Source organism: Homo sapiens, chromosome 3 (assembly GCF_000001405.40).
Source record: "Homo sapiens chromosome 3, GRCh38.p14 Primary Assembly".
Taxonomy (NCBI): Eukaryota; Metazoa; Chordata; class Mammalia; order Primates; family Hominidae; genus Homo; species Homo sapiens.
In genome coordinates, this window is record NC_000003.12 from 60,311,866 (window position 1) to 60,328,741 (window position 16,876).

Below are 16,876 nucleotides of genomic sequence, written 5' to 3' on the forward strand. Positions count from 1 at the left end.
ATATTTGAAATCAATTAGTCCAACCCACACATTTTTACAGTTGAGAAAATCAAGACCTAAGGAAGAAAAAAACGACTTGCCTAAGGTAATACAGTATAATAGTTCTTTATAAACTGAATTATAAAATCAATTTAGTGGGCCGTGACCAGCATGTTTTAAACTGAAATACAATTTTTAAAAAAATCTGAGTACTTAGCATACAGCAAGGGTAAACACTGTTTGGTGAAACCTTTAATTATATATGTGTAGGAGTATAGATGCTCTCCTGTACTAATGGGATAAAAAAATCTTTTTTTTAAGATGGGGGTAGCCCAGGCTGGAGTGCAGTGGCATGGTCATAGCTCACTATAACCTCAAACACCTGGGCTCAAGCAATCCTCCTGCCTTAGCCTCCTGAGTAACTAGAATTATAGGCATACACCATCATGCCTGGCTGATTTTTTTTAAAAATTTTTTTGTACAGACAAGGTCTCACTATGTTGCCTAGGCTGGTCTCGAACTCCTGAGCACAAGTGATCCTCCTTGCCTTGGCCCCCCAAAGTGCCAGGACCTTAGCCATGAGCCACCTCACCCAGCCACAAAATGTATTTCTTACTGAATTCTGTGGTTAAAATCCTTTAAAGAACTCCATTAGAACTAACCCAAAACCAGTGGTCATTCTACCAGGAAAGTGTTTTTGCAAAGTTTAGTGTGAAAACAAATAAAGGTTGAAATGCAGCTTCTGATTTAACAGTTCTGGTATGGACCTGAGATTCTGCATTTCCAATAGGTTCCTAGGGGAGATCTAAGCTGCTCCTGCCAGCCTATCAACTACCTTTGAGAAGTATGATTAAAAAACACTGCATCTGAGGGAGGACCTACTTTATTTTTAACAACGCCTCCCTGAAGTAGGTACTATGTATATACATACGTATATACACACACACAATTTTTTTGCTAACAATTTGAATAGGAACAACTAATTCTTGAAAATGTTTAAAAATAACAAAACAAAACCTTCCACAAAGAATCACCTCAATTCACTACAGAGAAAATGTGCTAATTGTGATGGTAATAAGAGCGCTGGTATTTACTGGTGTTCACAATGACACGCATGAGACCGAGTGCATCCATAACCCAGTTGATTCAGGTTGATATGATTTCCCCCAGATTACAGATGAAGAAACAGACCCAAATTAGTTTATTTTCTCCAAGGTCATCTTGCTTGAGAGTGGAGGGACACAGATTAGCATCCAGCCAATTAATTCCTAAGGCCATACTCCTATCATACTCACTGACTCACAGATGTATGTTATCCACACACCTATGCACATGCTCTAAACATTACATATGATATAAATACATATTTAGATACGTGCATTAGCACCTTGGCATACACTTTTATAAACACTCTACAATATTCAGGAGTCAGGGATCACAAGAGGAAACTAATATGTAAAAACCCAGTTCTCTAAAATTAGGTGCCTTCTCAAGTAGGTCAAGCAACCGCATTTATATTGTCTACATTAAAGGGATCTCTTGAAAACAGTCACATTAGCAGAATACAGGGGCTGAGTGAGCAGGCTGGCAGGGGAGGAGTGTGAGCAGGCTAACGACTAGAGCTACAAACAAGATTCCATCACCTATAACTTAGATTTCATGTGGTATATTTAGTTCAAACCCTGTCACTTTATACAAATAGGTTGTCACGTAAAGTGCAAACAACTCTCTTTTGACAAAGTGATACTGCTGTGGTGCTGGGTTGATGGCTTTATATTCCACAAAGCTTTTTAAGTGACAAATGATAGCTGAGTCTTGAAAATATGGTGATATGAAATGACTGCATAAATCCTTTCAGGCTTCCCGGGGGGAGCAAAAGCATAGCATTTTGCACATTAATTAAAAAAGAAAATCTGAGAGGATGAGGTTAGATCTTTCTAATCTTGACTCTGTGCAAACGGACTTTGAAGTTACTGGCACAAAATTGAGAGATGGCCCCAGAAAAGTCTTCAAATGAGATGTACAATGTTGTTTAAAGATCAGGCTCAAGTGCTGCTCTTGGCCCAAATGAGGCCAGGCAAGGGTGCAATAATTATCTCTGCTAGAGACTGTTGGTGCACTGGCGTTGAAATCTTTTGATATGTTGGATAATGCAGATTTTGTGTGCACACATTGCTTTCCCAAGCTGTCTACATCAGTGTCATGTTCAAATGAAGCCGAATAGTTTAAAAGGCTCGCTTTCACACTGGCTTTATTTAGCTTGCATAAACATTTTCCCTTCAATCTCATATAAAGTCTTGCTGCGTAAATGCAGCTGTCCTGCTCTTGTGTCTTAATACAGATCTTTACAAAGAGGCCTGTTGGGCAACATATTTCTGGTAGATGATTAATAAGAGATATAGGATTTCTTTTAAAAAAAATCATGCTCTGACTACAGAGGGCAAATTCATTACCCATAAATCAAAAGGAGTAAGGGATTTCAGTAGTATCAGAAGCCTTATCTGGCTTCAATCTGACAGTTAACTGTAGGCCGTGAATGATTAAATAAAAGTCTAAGTTCACCCGAGCCTGGATAAAATAAAACTCAAAGCCCAGAAACTTCAAATAAAATAAGAAAAAATCATAATTTTTCACCTCAAAAGGAAACTGAGAAGAGAAGTATGATGTGACAGAAACTATGATTTCAAATGGAGGGTTTCTTTTGTTGTTTGTTTTTCAGAACTAGACTCACATTTTACAAAAGGCTCCCTACCCATAAGGAAGAAAGTTTTGAGAGTAATGAGGTTGATCTGAACTGTTAAAAACTTTCTAACTGAGATATAGCAACATATGGTGTGGCAGAATAAAAATGGCCACAAAATCTTTAACATTCCTTCCATCCAGAAGTGAGGGGTCTATGTTCCTTCTCCCTGAGTAAGGTGGGGCCACTGAGTATTTTCACTAAGAGAATTCAGCAGAGGCTGGGTGCGGTGGCTCATGCCTGTAATCCCAGCACTTTAGGAGGCCAATGCAGCAGGATCACTCGAGTCCCAAGTTCAAGAATAGCCTGGGCAACACAGTGAGAGCCTGTCTCTATTTTAAAATTTAAAATAATAATAATAAAAGAATTCAGCAGAACTTACTATGCCCAGGCCTCAAGAAACTGGCATTTCTCTTCAAACACTAGCTTTCAAATCCTGAATTGCTCTAAGATAAGAAGTCTGCCACCCTGAGGCTACCATATTATGAGGAAGCCCAAGACAGCATGTGGCGAGAGAAAGGGAAAGATGCCCACCCAACCTCCAGCTATCTGAGTCATCCCAGCTGAGGCTCCAGACATTAATGAACTGCAGTAAGCTATTCATCCTAATGCCCTGTGGGAATCTCTCACCCACAACCTTGGGAGACATAATAATAATAAATTGTCTTCAGCTATTGTGTTATGGAGTAGTTTGTTACACAGCAACAGATAGCCAGAACATACAATAAAATGGGCTAATCTTAAGTGTATAGCTCTGCTCTTTTGCATATGTATACACACGAGTAACCACCACCTAGGTCATAAGACATGTTTCCAGAAGCCTCTCTCTGACCCTACCCAGACATTTCCCTCAATAAACATCCCCATCCTACCCCCACACAAATAAGAAACCAGTATCCTAGCTTCTATTATGATAGACAAGTTTTGTCAGTTCTTGAATTTCATGTGTAGGAAATCACATAGAAGGTACGCTCTAGCATCCAGCTTCTTCCGTTCAACATACTATCTGTGAAATTCATCACTGCTGCTGCACAGGGCAGTAGATGGTATGTTTTCATTGCTCTGAAGTGTTGCATTTTGTAAGTATACTACAATTATCCATTCTGCTGCTGCTGATGGATATTTGGTTGCTTCCAGTTTGGGGCTTTTATGAATAAAGCTGTTATGAACATTCTCATACATCTTCCTGGTGGACAAATGCACTCATTTCTCTTGGGTATATACCTAGAAGTAAAGTTGCTGGATCGCAGGGCAGTGCACTCATTTGGTAAAGTATTAGTTCATATTCCAACTACTCAAAGAATTGCTCATCTGGGCCACGTTATCATTGTTTTCTCCCCTATAACTAGCAAATATTGAGGCAAAATCATGCTGCATTAAATTAAGCAATTTATGATTTGTCCTTCCATATTGACCTTTCCTGACTAACTACACAATAGTATTGTTCTCAATGATGTCTACTGTCATGAACATGACATTGTTCTTGGAAAAATCCTATCAGGCAAAGTCAACCTCTAAAATAGCATTGTAATAAATATGCAGAAATGTCACTTTTTGCATTAGCCCAAAGGTTTTGTATAGCTTAAGGATACATGCAGTAAGCTAACTATAAAAATAGAAACTTGACAGTGGGGATGTATGTGTGTGTCAAAATAATATTACTCTTTCTGGGTGTATGGCAGAAAAAATGACACTACATCCACCAGCATGATTTTTATAGATCTGCCTCTTTGCCAGATGTCACCTTTTATAAACTGCTTTATAAAAACATGACAGTATAAGTGCAATAGTGTGTTTATTGCTTGATAAACTTTAGTAATAAACTTAGGATAGGTTGAAAATTAAAGCCTTAGAGCCTATTCATTAAGCATTTAGGACAAGTGAGTAAGCAAAAAATGCAAACTATTAAATCCTAAATGTATGCAGATCAAGCCACTAGCAGCAAGCACTATTTCTCAATCAGTATGTCTTATGGAAATATCTGCCAGTTTCCTTGTCATTGAGCTAAATGCATTACAGCCACATCTAAAGCATGCCATTTGCATTGCTACAAATTTGAATGAAATCCAGAATGTTACAACTGCCACAGGCTCACTCAAAACAGATTAAGTCTTTTTCAAAACTGTTCTGTAACTTAGCACAGCATATTTTACATATGGCAAACCATGGTTCCAACAACTACTTTTCTGAAAAGACTTGAAAAGACTTTAAGGAATTTCTTAAAATAATTTCATAGCACACACTCAATATTTTGATTACTGATGGATTATACACAGCAATGTAGTGTGGTCTGAGGACTTTGGATTACCTGCAGAGCTTGTTAAATAGAGCGATCCTGTAGTCCTTTCCTAATCGATTGAAATAAAATCTCTGGAACAAGGGACCCAAGAACTAGGATTTTATTAAGTAATTCCAAATGATCCTTATTCACAATAAAATGTGTTAACCATAGCTATACAGTAATCTAATAAAAAGAAACTTTACAGGAAAGTATATTGGCCCAGAAGGGTGTCATTTTAAGTGAATAATGTATTCTTACATTCTTAGGTTCAAACTGTTACTCAACATTATATTTTTAAAAATTCAAATGGCTTATATTAGTTCATATTCCTTTTTTTTCTTGTAGTTATGTATGAACACCCACAAAATAAAATCTACTTAAGAACTTTTGAAAATCAATCCCTATAACAAGTGCATATATAACTAAATTTTCCTGATGATTCTATTCATCCTGGACTGACAATTGTTATCTTTGTAATTGATAAATGAAAAAAGCAGTAAAATAAAACAATCCCTTTACCAAATGGTCTATTAGAATTCCTCTGATGCTCATCACATTTTTCCACTGCTTACTATTCACCCCCAGATCTCATAAAATATTTCAGTAGTTAACTACAGCAAAGCTACTAACATGCAGTTTGTGTTGGGTGGATCCTCACAAAAGTGATGCTAATATATTGGAAATATATATACATATATCATTATATATAATTATATATATCATTATATAATCATATAATATGTAATTATATATGTGTGTGTGTGTGTGTGTATATATATATATATATAATATTTTCCCCATTAACAAATCAGTGTGCCAACATGACAACAAGTAGGAGAGACTGTCAAAGCTTCACAGTTGCTACAGAACTCTAGTACTGGGAAGTACTAGTTCAAAATTCCATTCTGGGCAAGTTTTTCTTCTTTTTTTTTTTTTTTATTTTGAGACAGGGTCTCACTCTGTTGCTGAGGCTGTAGTACAGTGGTGCAGTCTTTGCTCACTGCAACCTCCACCTCCTAGGTTCAAGTAATTCTCCTGCCTTAGCCTCCCTAGTAGCTGGGACTACAGGTGCATGTCACCACACCCAGACAATTTTTATATTTTTTGGTAGAAACGGGGTTTTGCCATGTTGGCCAGGCTGGTCTCAAACCCCTCACCTCAAGTGATCCACCTGCCTCGGCCTCCCAAAGTGCTGGGATTACAGGCATGAGCCACCATGCCCCGCCCCATTCTGGGCATCTTAAACAAAAGCAAAAACAAAAAACCCTGAACACATCATGGTATAATGCAGTGATAAAGCAATGTAGGGCTTTTCTGGACATTAAAATGTTTGAAAATAAGCACCAAGAAAAAAATCACATTAAGGAGCAAAAATTACAGTAACTGCTTGCCTTTTTCTTTGGACATCAAAAGAAAGAACTAACAAAAGGAAAGTCTTGCTCGATTTCTGATCATTTTATTTATCTTATTGTGAAAGAAACAACACTGAATCAAGAGTGAAATAGAAATCAACCAAATGAAATGACAGCAAAAGTTGCAAAGAAAGGCATCTGGGGGGTGAAAAAATAAATGTTCCTTCACAGAAAGAAACCAGTTGTTTAAAAACAAAACAGAACAAAACAAAAACTTACAAAAACACAGAAATAGGTCAAGCAAATTCTACCCAAATCCCTCTTCCTTTGGGCCTTGTCACAACAAGTAAACCTCATCAGAGGGGTCAAGACCACAATGACTGACATCCTGATCATGTGATGTGATGGACAGAGAACTTGACTCCGAGTCAGCAGAATCGTATAGTCCAGTTTGACTTCAATACTCATTAATTCACCTTTTAAAAGTTTCTGACTCTCTGCATTCATTTTTGATTGCTGCTGTAACAAGTTATCACAAACTGAGTGGTTAAAAATAATACAAATATATTATCTTACAGTTCTGGAAGCCAGAAGTACAAAATCAGTTTCACTGAGCTAAAGTCAAGTTGTTGGCAGGCTGATTCTTTCTAGAGATTCGGAAGGAAGAATGGATTTCCATCTTTTCCAGCTTCTAGTGGCTGCCTATACTCCTTGGTTTGTAGTTCTTTCCCTCATCTCCAAAGTGCATCCTCCAGTTTCCGCCTCTGTTGTCACATGGCCTGCTCTCTGATTCTGACCTTCCTCCTGCCTTCCTCTTCTTACAAAGACACTATGACTACCCTGCACCCACCCACTTTATCCAGGATAACTTCCCCATCTTAAGATTCTTAACCTGATCACATCTGCAAAGTCCCTTTTGCCACATAAGGTAACATTCACAGGTACCAGGAATTAGGACATGGACATACTTGGGGGCCATCACTCAGCCTACCATAATCTCTTTGGATTTTCTTCTTAATACTAGTTCATTCTTTGTTCATTTACTCATCCACCCACCCACTCACCCATCACCCTCACTCTACAGGAGTTGGCCACAGCTTCCCGACTAGTATGGCAGAACAAAACGGTGTGTTGTAAACCTTCAAAGGATCTGCTGACAAGTTCTGATCAATATGTATAATTGATTTTTGCTGCAACAGAGTACACATTCTGACAGGGTGATGTTTTTAAGGGAAAAAAAAAAAACAACGAACAGAGTAGATGATGGAACGGTATATAGATTGGGATAACTGACTGCCAGTAAAAGGGCAGAGACATTGATTCACATTAAGGTGGGACCAAAGAAATGTATCAGGTTTTCTGGAATGTGCAGAACTGTGTTTACAGGAAGATACAGAAATTTGTCTCATGAGCACATAGAAGTCCGTGACCAGAACAGCAAACAGCCCAACTCAAACAGCAGCACAGCCACAATGAAACCGCACAAATAAAGTGATCACCGTGGAAGCTTCCAGAGACACTGAGGGGGGCTGTTTCTCCCCAGCAGTGGTTGCACTGTAATTACCATAGTTCGTTTGGGGTTGCCGACTTTTGGTCTTTTCATGCCAGGATGGACTCCTGGTTCTGAGGGTAGAATCATCTTTCTTTAATTTCATGGGAAGGGGTAGGGTAGGTGCCTACACAAAACAGGGTTTTATCAGGAAGAAAAACAGGAAAACGACCTAAGAGGATGCACAATAGCAGCTCTCACAAAACCGCAGTCACTGGGGGCTCTTTCAGTACCTCAATTTAAAGCGCTCCGTAGGATGACAACTTATATCTTAATTTCTCCCACACAAAATCCCTCTAAGGTGAGTTTCTTTAGGCACCATCCAGACCACATTTTAAGTTACACCATTTAAAATAAACTTTTTAAATTCAGAGAAAACTATCCAAGTACGTTGACACTCTTACGTTGTTTATGTATAAAAACAATTACAACGTTAAGCTTCCTCTTCATTTCAAATTTGTTTATTCTTACATAAGCTTCTAGACAAAAGCATACTCTCTGAAGGAAAACTGGGGCAGATGGGGGTGGCGCAGGATAGCGGCAGCGTTATTGTGACTAGGTGGTGGTTAAGAAAATATTTTCAAGACAACAACCTGAAAATCAGGCTTAAGTGCCAGAAGTAAACCAAAAAGAAGCAATAGCAAGTGACAAAAATGGCTAACTGGAGAGGAAAAAAAATAGGATTTCAATTAAATCATAAACGATGGCTAATAAAGTGCGTTTTAACAGCTGTAACGCTAAACATAATGCATCTTACTCTGTTTTAATTCAAATATTAATCCTTGTCCAATCACTGTAATGGGAGAAAAATGGTATGCTCTGAATGTCACATTCGAATTGGGTAGCAATTATCTTCCTGGTATCAATGTCAGACATTCACATAAATCTTTAAAAAATGATAAACTTACCCAAAAACATCCAATCAAATAAAATGAAAAGATTTCTATAAAACTTGTGCTATAATTTATTTAAAATTACAAGTAACATAAGAAAGATGGATAATTACAATTAGGGAGATATAAATTTGAAATGGAGGAACATATTAATATTTTAATCTTTCTGATAATTCTTTAAAATTACCTAATATTTTTATATCAGCAAATATTGCCTCAAGGACTCAATTGAAACCCAAATCGTAATGATCACTATTTAACTAATTTATTAAATAAAACATGTTCAATTGTACACTAAATCAAATGACATGGCCATCATAATGGCAGAGCTACAAATTTTAATGAGACTGAAGAAAACAGTAAAAGGTCTTTGAACCTGTTATCCATGTGATCACAGATACCGAAAACATGCTTGTTTCTCTCCTTTGTGGAGGCTCAGGGACTCCCCAACTCTAAGCAACAGTTATAATAATATTTACTACGTGCTTCCCACCCTGCGAAGAATGGACAGGCAGTATCTCATTACATTCTGACAGCAGGCCAGGTACAGTGGCTCATGCCTGCAATTCCAGTACTCTGGGAGGCTGGGGCAGGCAGATCACTTGAGCTCAGGAGTTCAAGATCAGCCTGGGCAACATGGTGAATCCCCATCTCTAAAATACAAAAAATAGCCAGGCGTGGTGGCATACACCTGTAGTCTCAGCTACTCAGTAGGCTGAGACAGGAGTATTGTTTGAACTCCGGAGGTCAAGTCTGCAGAGAGCCACAACTGCACCACTGTACTCCAGCCTGGTGACAGATCAAGACTAGGTCTCAAAAAACCAAAAAAAATTCTTATAGCCACCTAAAAGGTTATCTTCACTTAAGAGATGCATAATCAGGCATTGAGGGGTTACAAAACTTGCACAAGATCCCAGAACTAAGGGGCAGAGGAACTCCAAAGCCTGTAGGAGAACTGCTGAAATCTGAGGATCTCCTCTCTCTGTATATATTTAAAATATGATTTCTGTCTCAGTCTATTGAAGCTGCTCTATCAAAATGCCTTAAATTGGGTGATGTATAAATAATAGAAATTTATTTTTCACAGTTCTGGAGGCTGAGAAGCCCAAGATGAAGGTGCTGGCAGCTTCAGAGCCTGGTGAGGGCTTGCTCTCTGCTTTAAGATGGCGCCTTCTTGAAGCATCTTCAGTGGTAGAAGGGGCAAGGAAGCTCCCTCCAACCTCCTTTAAGAGGGTGCTAATCCCATTCATGAGGGCAGAGCCCTCGTGACTTAATCACTTCCCAGAAGGTCCTACCTCTTAATAGAATCATGTTGGGTATTAGGTTCCAACATATAACTTTTGGAAGAACACAAACATTCAGACCTTAGCAATATTCATCCATGCTTCTCAACTCTCATTTTACAGCAGAATTTCCCATGGAATTTTCAAGAAACACATTTGTCCAGGTACAGCCCATAGAAATACCGTGGGCCCAACAGCTTATTTTCATTATGCTTTTCTGGGCAATTATGATGCCTGCTCAATGTGTGGAACTCCTGCTCTGTGTATTTCAGGAGATCCTGGAGTATATTAGCACTAAAATGTCTCTTTTTCTAATAGTAGTACATCACATTGGTTTTATAAATACTTATAATACATGACATACTACAATGTGAAGGTGGTTTTGCATGTGTCATCACATGTGACATCCCATTAACTTACCAAGAGTCACAGGGAAAGACTTGTTATTATACCCAATTACAGTTTGAGTCAATAGGCACAAATGAATTATCAACTTTTTGACCTTGGAGGCCATCTCCAACTTTATATTACATAATCCTTTTGCTTTATTAACAAGAAGTCTAAGGTCCAGAGAGATTCACTGACTTTTACAGGTTCACCCAGTTGGTAAATAAGGGCACCGGACAAGAAAAACAAGAATTCAGCTCCCACAACTGATATGATGTGTTATTTGTAACACCTCACCCAGAATGTCTCCAGCCACCTTTCTTTGAAACCTGCACTTGCACTGTTAAACTGGGAAAAGATTAATAAGTACAATCGTATGATCACATGGGTAGTCACAACACTGTAATCTGAGAAATAATCATTATAGATGATAAAGAAAGAGGTAGAGGAGGAAGTACTATTTTTGTGCCCTTGATTATCACATTACAAAGACAGAAACTGCGACGACTATAAAAGATGATCAGAGGAAATGATATCCCAAATTTGAACCGTCTGAATTATGAAAAAAATACAATGTTTAACTAGAATGTTCCCTAAACATGTCACACTTTGAATAAAAGGAGCAGAAGGACTGTATAGAAGACTGGCAACAAAGACATACAGGAAATGTAAGATTCACTATTTAGGTATGAGTTTAGATTTTTTTGTATGGAAGTAGAGCATTCTCCCCACCCTTTCTCCTACTTCCAACTTCCTGCAAAAATCCTACACAGAGGCAAAATATATAAAATGTCTTAAAACCAAATTGTTAAGGCCCTGTCTCCTCCTACTGGGGCCCAAAGTACCTCCTCCCTCAAGGGGACGCAGGGCTCCCAGGACACCACCGGGAATCACTGTTTCACATTCATGAAATACGTAGTCAGTGATGATATCTACATAACGTCAAGCGTCTAAGTGCTTGACTAAATTTTCCCATTATTTTCACTTTGCCAACTACATGGATAATAAAGAAAAAAATGAGAATTTTAAAGCTAAAAGACTCCTACTGGCCAATTTTGAGTACTTCCTGAGGATGAGACACTTTCCACATAAGCCGGTTAGAGAGATCTCAGTGAGCCAGTGTCCCAACAGAACATGGAAAATGAAGCCCAGGGAGGTCATACAACCTGGTATATGGTACAACATCGCCCTGCAGGCTGGAAACAAGGCCAGGTCACACTGAGGTTTCCAGACTCCACAGGGAGAGGAGGAAATCCTAGGGAGCAGATCCCCATCTGTGTTGATCTTCATGATTTTGCTCACATCCCTGTGCCTCCTGTACTATCATTCCGGTCTGTCTTCTTTACATCTGCTCAGTTCCTCCTTAAATTACTTTGACTTAAATGGAAACATTCTATCTGTACCATAAATGGAAAACCAGTATCACTTGCCACAGATAGACAGCTAACCCTGTTAACCTTGAAACAAAAGGATATTAAACTGTAGCCGGAAGGGATCCCTGCCTGAGGCTCTGAGCCTGGGGCCTGCCCACGCTTTGTTATAAGGAAGATTAGCAAATACTAGAAAGGTGAGAAAGCTTCCCCCTGGCTAATGAGAAGGGTTGAAAGAAATGAAAGGGAATAACTTCCCAAGCTTGCCAGAAACACCAAGGTAGGGCAGTTTTTTTTAACCCTGCTTTGAGGTCTAGAATCCTTTGTTGAAATGAAATCTTATTAACAATAGAAGCAATAATGATGATGCTGATAAGAAACAGCTGGTTGTATTAGGATACACCAGGCATTCAAATACAAGTAAACTCAGTACTTAGAAGTATTAACTCATTTACTCCTCATTAACAAACTTGTGAGACACAGAAAGGTCAAGTAATGGGCCCCAAATCTCTCTGCTAGTAACAGCCAAAACCCTGGTCCTATAACCCCAGAGTCCCTGTTTTTAATGACCACCCAGACTGCCCCTCAAGATTCCAGTTACTAAGGCCGGGCGCGATGGCTCACGCCTGTAATCCCAGAACTTTGGAGGCTGAGGCTGGTGAATCATGAGGTCAGGAGATGGAGACCATCCTGGCTAACATGGTGAAACCCTGTCTCTACTAAAAATACAAAAAAATTAGCCGGGCGTGGTGGCGGGTGCCTATAGTCCCAGCTGCTCGGGATGCTGAGGCAGAAGAATGGCCTGAACCCAGGAGGCGGAGCTTGCAGTGAGCCAAGATCGCCAAGCCTGGGTGACAGAGCGAGACTCCATCAGAAAAAAAAAAAAAAGAATTCCAGTTACTAGCAACTGACAATAGAGTTGTGGTTGAAAAGGGATTAAGGAGCTAAAGTGTTATGCTAAGCATGGTTATGAACAAAAGGCAGAAAAAGAACAAATGCGTCCACTATATGGCTTGATTTGATTACTTGAAAATTATTCATTTGTTTTACTCTTTAGCTCTTTGCTTCCTTTAAGGTAATCACTTTTAACCCTCTTCTCATATTACTTGGCTGATGATATACCTTGGTGTACTGTTTTCTTTATTTGAACAAATATGGTTACTGTGCCAGTACCTTCAACAGATTCAAATCTTTTTAAGGGTAAAAAGGCTTTTCTATTTTTCTTAGACTACAAATAATGACTAAAGTAATTCAATGATAATGAGCATTCTAGATATTTCTGAAGGTTTCTGAAGGTCACACAAAGGTGACTGTTTCTACTGTGCTAATATATCCCTGGAATTTTCATTCTTAATATTTTCCAAAGAGCAGGTCAACACTTCACAGCAAAAAAACAGAGTGAAAGAGAAAACAATTTTTTTCATATTATTCATATATGTTTTTAATAGATGATTAAAGAAGAAAAACATACCCTGGAAATGTAGAAATATGAAGCCATGCTACATATTTTTATAATTATGTTTTATTGCGTTCTGTTAACTGGCCAGAGGGTTTTTAAAATGCCAAAAGATTCCAAATTAAATTACCATTATTAAGCCCCTTAAGCCTCATATTGAGTTTAGACTGTCACTAAAAACTTTTGATAAATTAAATAATATGCAGTATGAGTATTAGAGTTTGAAATGTTTAAAAGTTTCTTTACACATCTGTCAGCATAACCTAAGACATAAAATGGCTTACATACATTTTTTTCAATGATAGTGTTTTGTTTTCAATTTGTTTTTTAGAAATGTAATTAATGAAAGCTACAGAGCAATAATCTAGCATCTAGAAATGCCTTCAGAGTTGGGTTTTTAAACTCTTCTCTAAATTTATTCTGTTGCTAAAAATACATTCATTACATTTTTAATCTAACAGGTTTTAGTGAATAAAACAATGATGTAGATATAAAGCTAAATTTCTACAGTACAAGACATTTCAAACATCATAAACCAAGGCAAAAGAGGATTTACAATACAGAGTCAAACTACAATGGACACTTCAGAATAAAATTCAGTCAGTGTCCTCTGCCCTGCCAGCAGGGCATTTACTGTAGTGGAGAGGACCAGGAAGGAGATTCGCTTTATAGGATAATCATGTTATGTTATGCTTTTATTGAATGCACTTACATTTTGGACTACACAATTGTTCTTGAAATGTTTCCAAATGTGTGTAATCATGACCGACGTGATGGCAGGGATCTACTTAATTTCCGCATTCAAAGGGGAACATGATGCAAATACTATCAAGCGAGGGCACTTCCTGTCATATAACACAGAAGAGATAAGAACTTGACCATGAGCTGGCAATAAATTCATCAACATCCTAAACCAGCAGTCAGTCCCCAACCTTTCTGGTACCAGAAACTGGTTTCATGGAAGACAATTTTTCCACAGATGGGGGTGGAGTGGGGCTGGCAGGGGGGTGGTGATGGTTTCAGGATGATTCAAGTGCATTACATTTATTGTGCATTTTATTTATATTATTATTACATTGTAATATATAATGAAATAATTCTACAACTCACCATAATGTAGAATCAATGGGAGTCCTGAGCTTGTATTCTTGTGACTAGCTGGTCCCATCTGGGGGTGATGGGAGACAGTGACAGATCATCAGGCATTAGGTTCTCATAAGGAGCGGGCAACCTAGATCCCTCCCATGTGCAATTCACAATAGGGTTCACATTCCTATGAGAATCTAATCCTGCCGCTAATCTCACAGGAGGCAGAGCTCAGGCAGTAATGGGAGTGATGGGGGAGCGGCTGTAAAGACAGATGAAGCTTTGCTCAATTGCCCACTGCTCACTTGTTGCTGTGTGGCCAGGTTCCTAACAGGCCATGGACTGGTCCATGACGCAGGGGCTGGGGACCCCTGTCCTAAACCATGTTTGCTTCTGCCCCCTCACCCTTTCCCAGAGTGAATGGTAATTACTGTGTACGATATTTAAAAAATGGACGATGTCCCCTTAACAGTATTTTCTGCCTGAGTCCAGAGCTACTAGTAGTAGTGACTGCTGACTAAAGGATGAAGCTGGAGTAAAACCTTTCCTGTGCTGTGACCCACATCTCCCCATTGCTGAAGAAGAGAAATGTAAAAATGCTTTCTGGAAGAAGAATTTCACAAGGTTATGTTTTCCCTCAGCTTTCCATGATCACAGTAATCGAAAAATAACACTCTTAGTTTACAGATTTCAATTTGGCAGTATCTGGCAATGTTAATTATATAAATGAGAAGAGAGAGATAAGAGGTGGGAAACAGGAAGTGAATGCCAGGAAAATGAGGATCCAGGTCTCCTCCTCATGGAGGTCGTCCCCAGGCTTCCTGCACCAGTGACAGCACCTGCCAACCACAACATTTCCTAGGCTTCTTCCCTGATTTATTTTCTCCCTAGAGCTTACCCCTCTATAACACAGTCTATGTTTCATATTCCATCTTCTTCATCAGCTTCTTTATCCCCCACAACAAAATGTGCTCCACCAGGGAAGGGGTTTGAAGTTGTTTTGTTCACTGCTGTGTCCCCAGGACTGGATGACAGAGGATGCCCACCTTATTTACCAATATATTCCCAGCATCTAGTCCAAGGGTCTGTCACCCTTTTCAGTAAAGTGTCAGAGATTAGCTATTTTAGGCTTTGCAAGCCATACAATCTCTGCTGTGCAGCTACTTAGCTCTGACACCGTAGAGCAAAAACAGCCATAGCCAATAAATATATAAATAAACGGGCATGGCTATGTTCTAACAAAACATTATTTACAAAAACAGCCAGAGGACCAGATGTGGCCCAGAGCTATAGTTGCCAACTCCATTGTAGACCATGTCTTGCATATGGTGTGTGCTAAATATTTAATATTATGAATGAATGTGATAACTCCAAACCAGCCAACCCTCCTATTTATCATTCCAGAACAAAGAAGACTCTCATAAAAGACAACCACTACCAGATGTTTTAAGGTAACAGGTATTAAAAGCAGAATGGGTAAGTAAAACATAGAGTTTGTCCTCAGTGACTGGAGATGGTCTCTGCTGTCCTGACTAAATGACCTATATTAGGGTCCCAGTGGGAACCTAATTCAATTCAGATGGTTCAAATGAAGAGACTCTAATAAAAGGCTTATTAATGGAGGGGCTGGCAGGCGAAGGAAACAAGAAGGGAGGTGGAGGCACTCAGACAAGAGCAAGAGCAGGAGGTCATGGCATCCCTCAAAGGGCAAGGGGAGGCCACAGTGATCCCAGAGCCCTGTGAGAGCTAAAACATGGAGGAAGGACTATCAATGTCAAATGTAATGCTCACTCAATCAGGGAAGAAGCAAGAAAGAGAACCCCAACTTCCTTCTGCTCCAGTCCTCTGATTTTCAGCCTAGCCACCATGCTTGTCAATCCCAGATCCAATCCAACTGTAAGGGAGCACAGGCAATGTAGTCTATTGGAAAAGTTGGAAAGGGCAGGCACTGAACACAGAGTAAGGCAGGAATGAGCAGAGACAGGGATCTAGATGAGAGTGGCAGACTGAGCAACTAACACATGGATCAATTAAGATCAAAACAAAATCATTGTATTAGTTCATTTTCATACTGCTATGAAGAAACACCTGAGAATGGGTACTTTATAAGAAAAAGAGGTTTAATGGACTCACACTTCCACATGGCTGGAGAGGCCTTACAATCATGGAGGAAGGCGAAGGAAGAGTAAAGGCATGTCTGACATGACAGCAAGCAAGAGAGCGTGTGCTCGGGAACTGCCCTTTATAAAACCATTGGATCTTGTGAGACTTACTAACTAACAGGAGAACAGCATAGGAAAAACCTGCCCCCATGATTCAATTACCTCCCACCAGGTCCCTCTCACTACACCTGGGGATTATGGGAATTACAGGATAGATTTGGGGGGGACACAGCCAAACCATATCAATCATCCTACTGAGTACAGAAATGAAAACTTCAGATTCCATACACTTGACATAGATTACATAAAAGACCACCAATAATAAGATTGTGCCCCAC

The 16,876-nt window shown here is 39.2% G+C and overlaps 1 protein-coding gene and 1 long non-coding RNA gene across 8 annotated transcripts in view; both read right to left on the reverse strand.

Annotated features, from left to right (window-relative positions):
• Nucleotides 1-16,876, reverse strand: part of FHIT (fragile histidine triad diadenosine triphosphatase) — a 1,504,176-nt gene that overhangs the window by 564,589 nt on the left and 922,711 nt on the right. The window lies entirely within an intron of this gene.
• The window catches only part of LOC107986015 (uncharacterized), a 100,472-nt gene that overhangs the window by 55,585 nt on the left and 28,011 nt on the right, over nt 1-16,876 (reverse strand). Inside the window, exons 2-3 of one of the 2 annotated variants that reach the window (XR_001740433.3) lie at nt 14,401-14,458; nt 1-14,135 (exon numbers count right to left, since the gene is read on the reverse strand). The exon at nt 1-14,135 is cut by the window's left edge and continues 55,585 nt beyond it. This is a non-coding gene — a long non-coding RNA (uncharacterized LOC107986015). The remainder of the gene's footprint in view (nt 14,136-14,400; nt 14,459-16,876) is intronic. The other variant, XR_007095935.1, reaches the window with a different exon arrangement.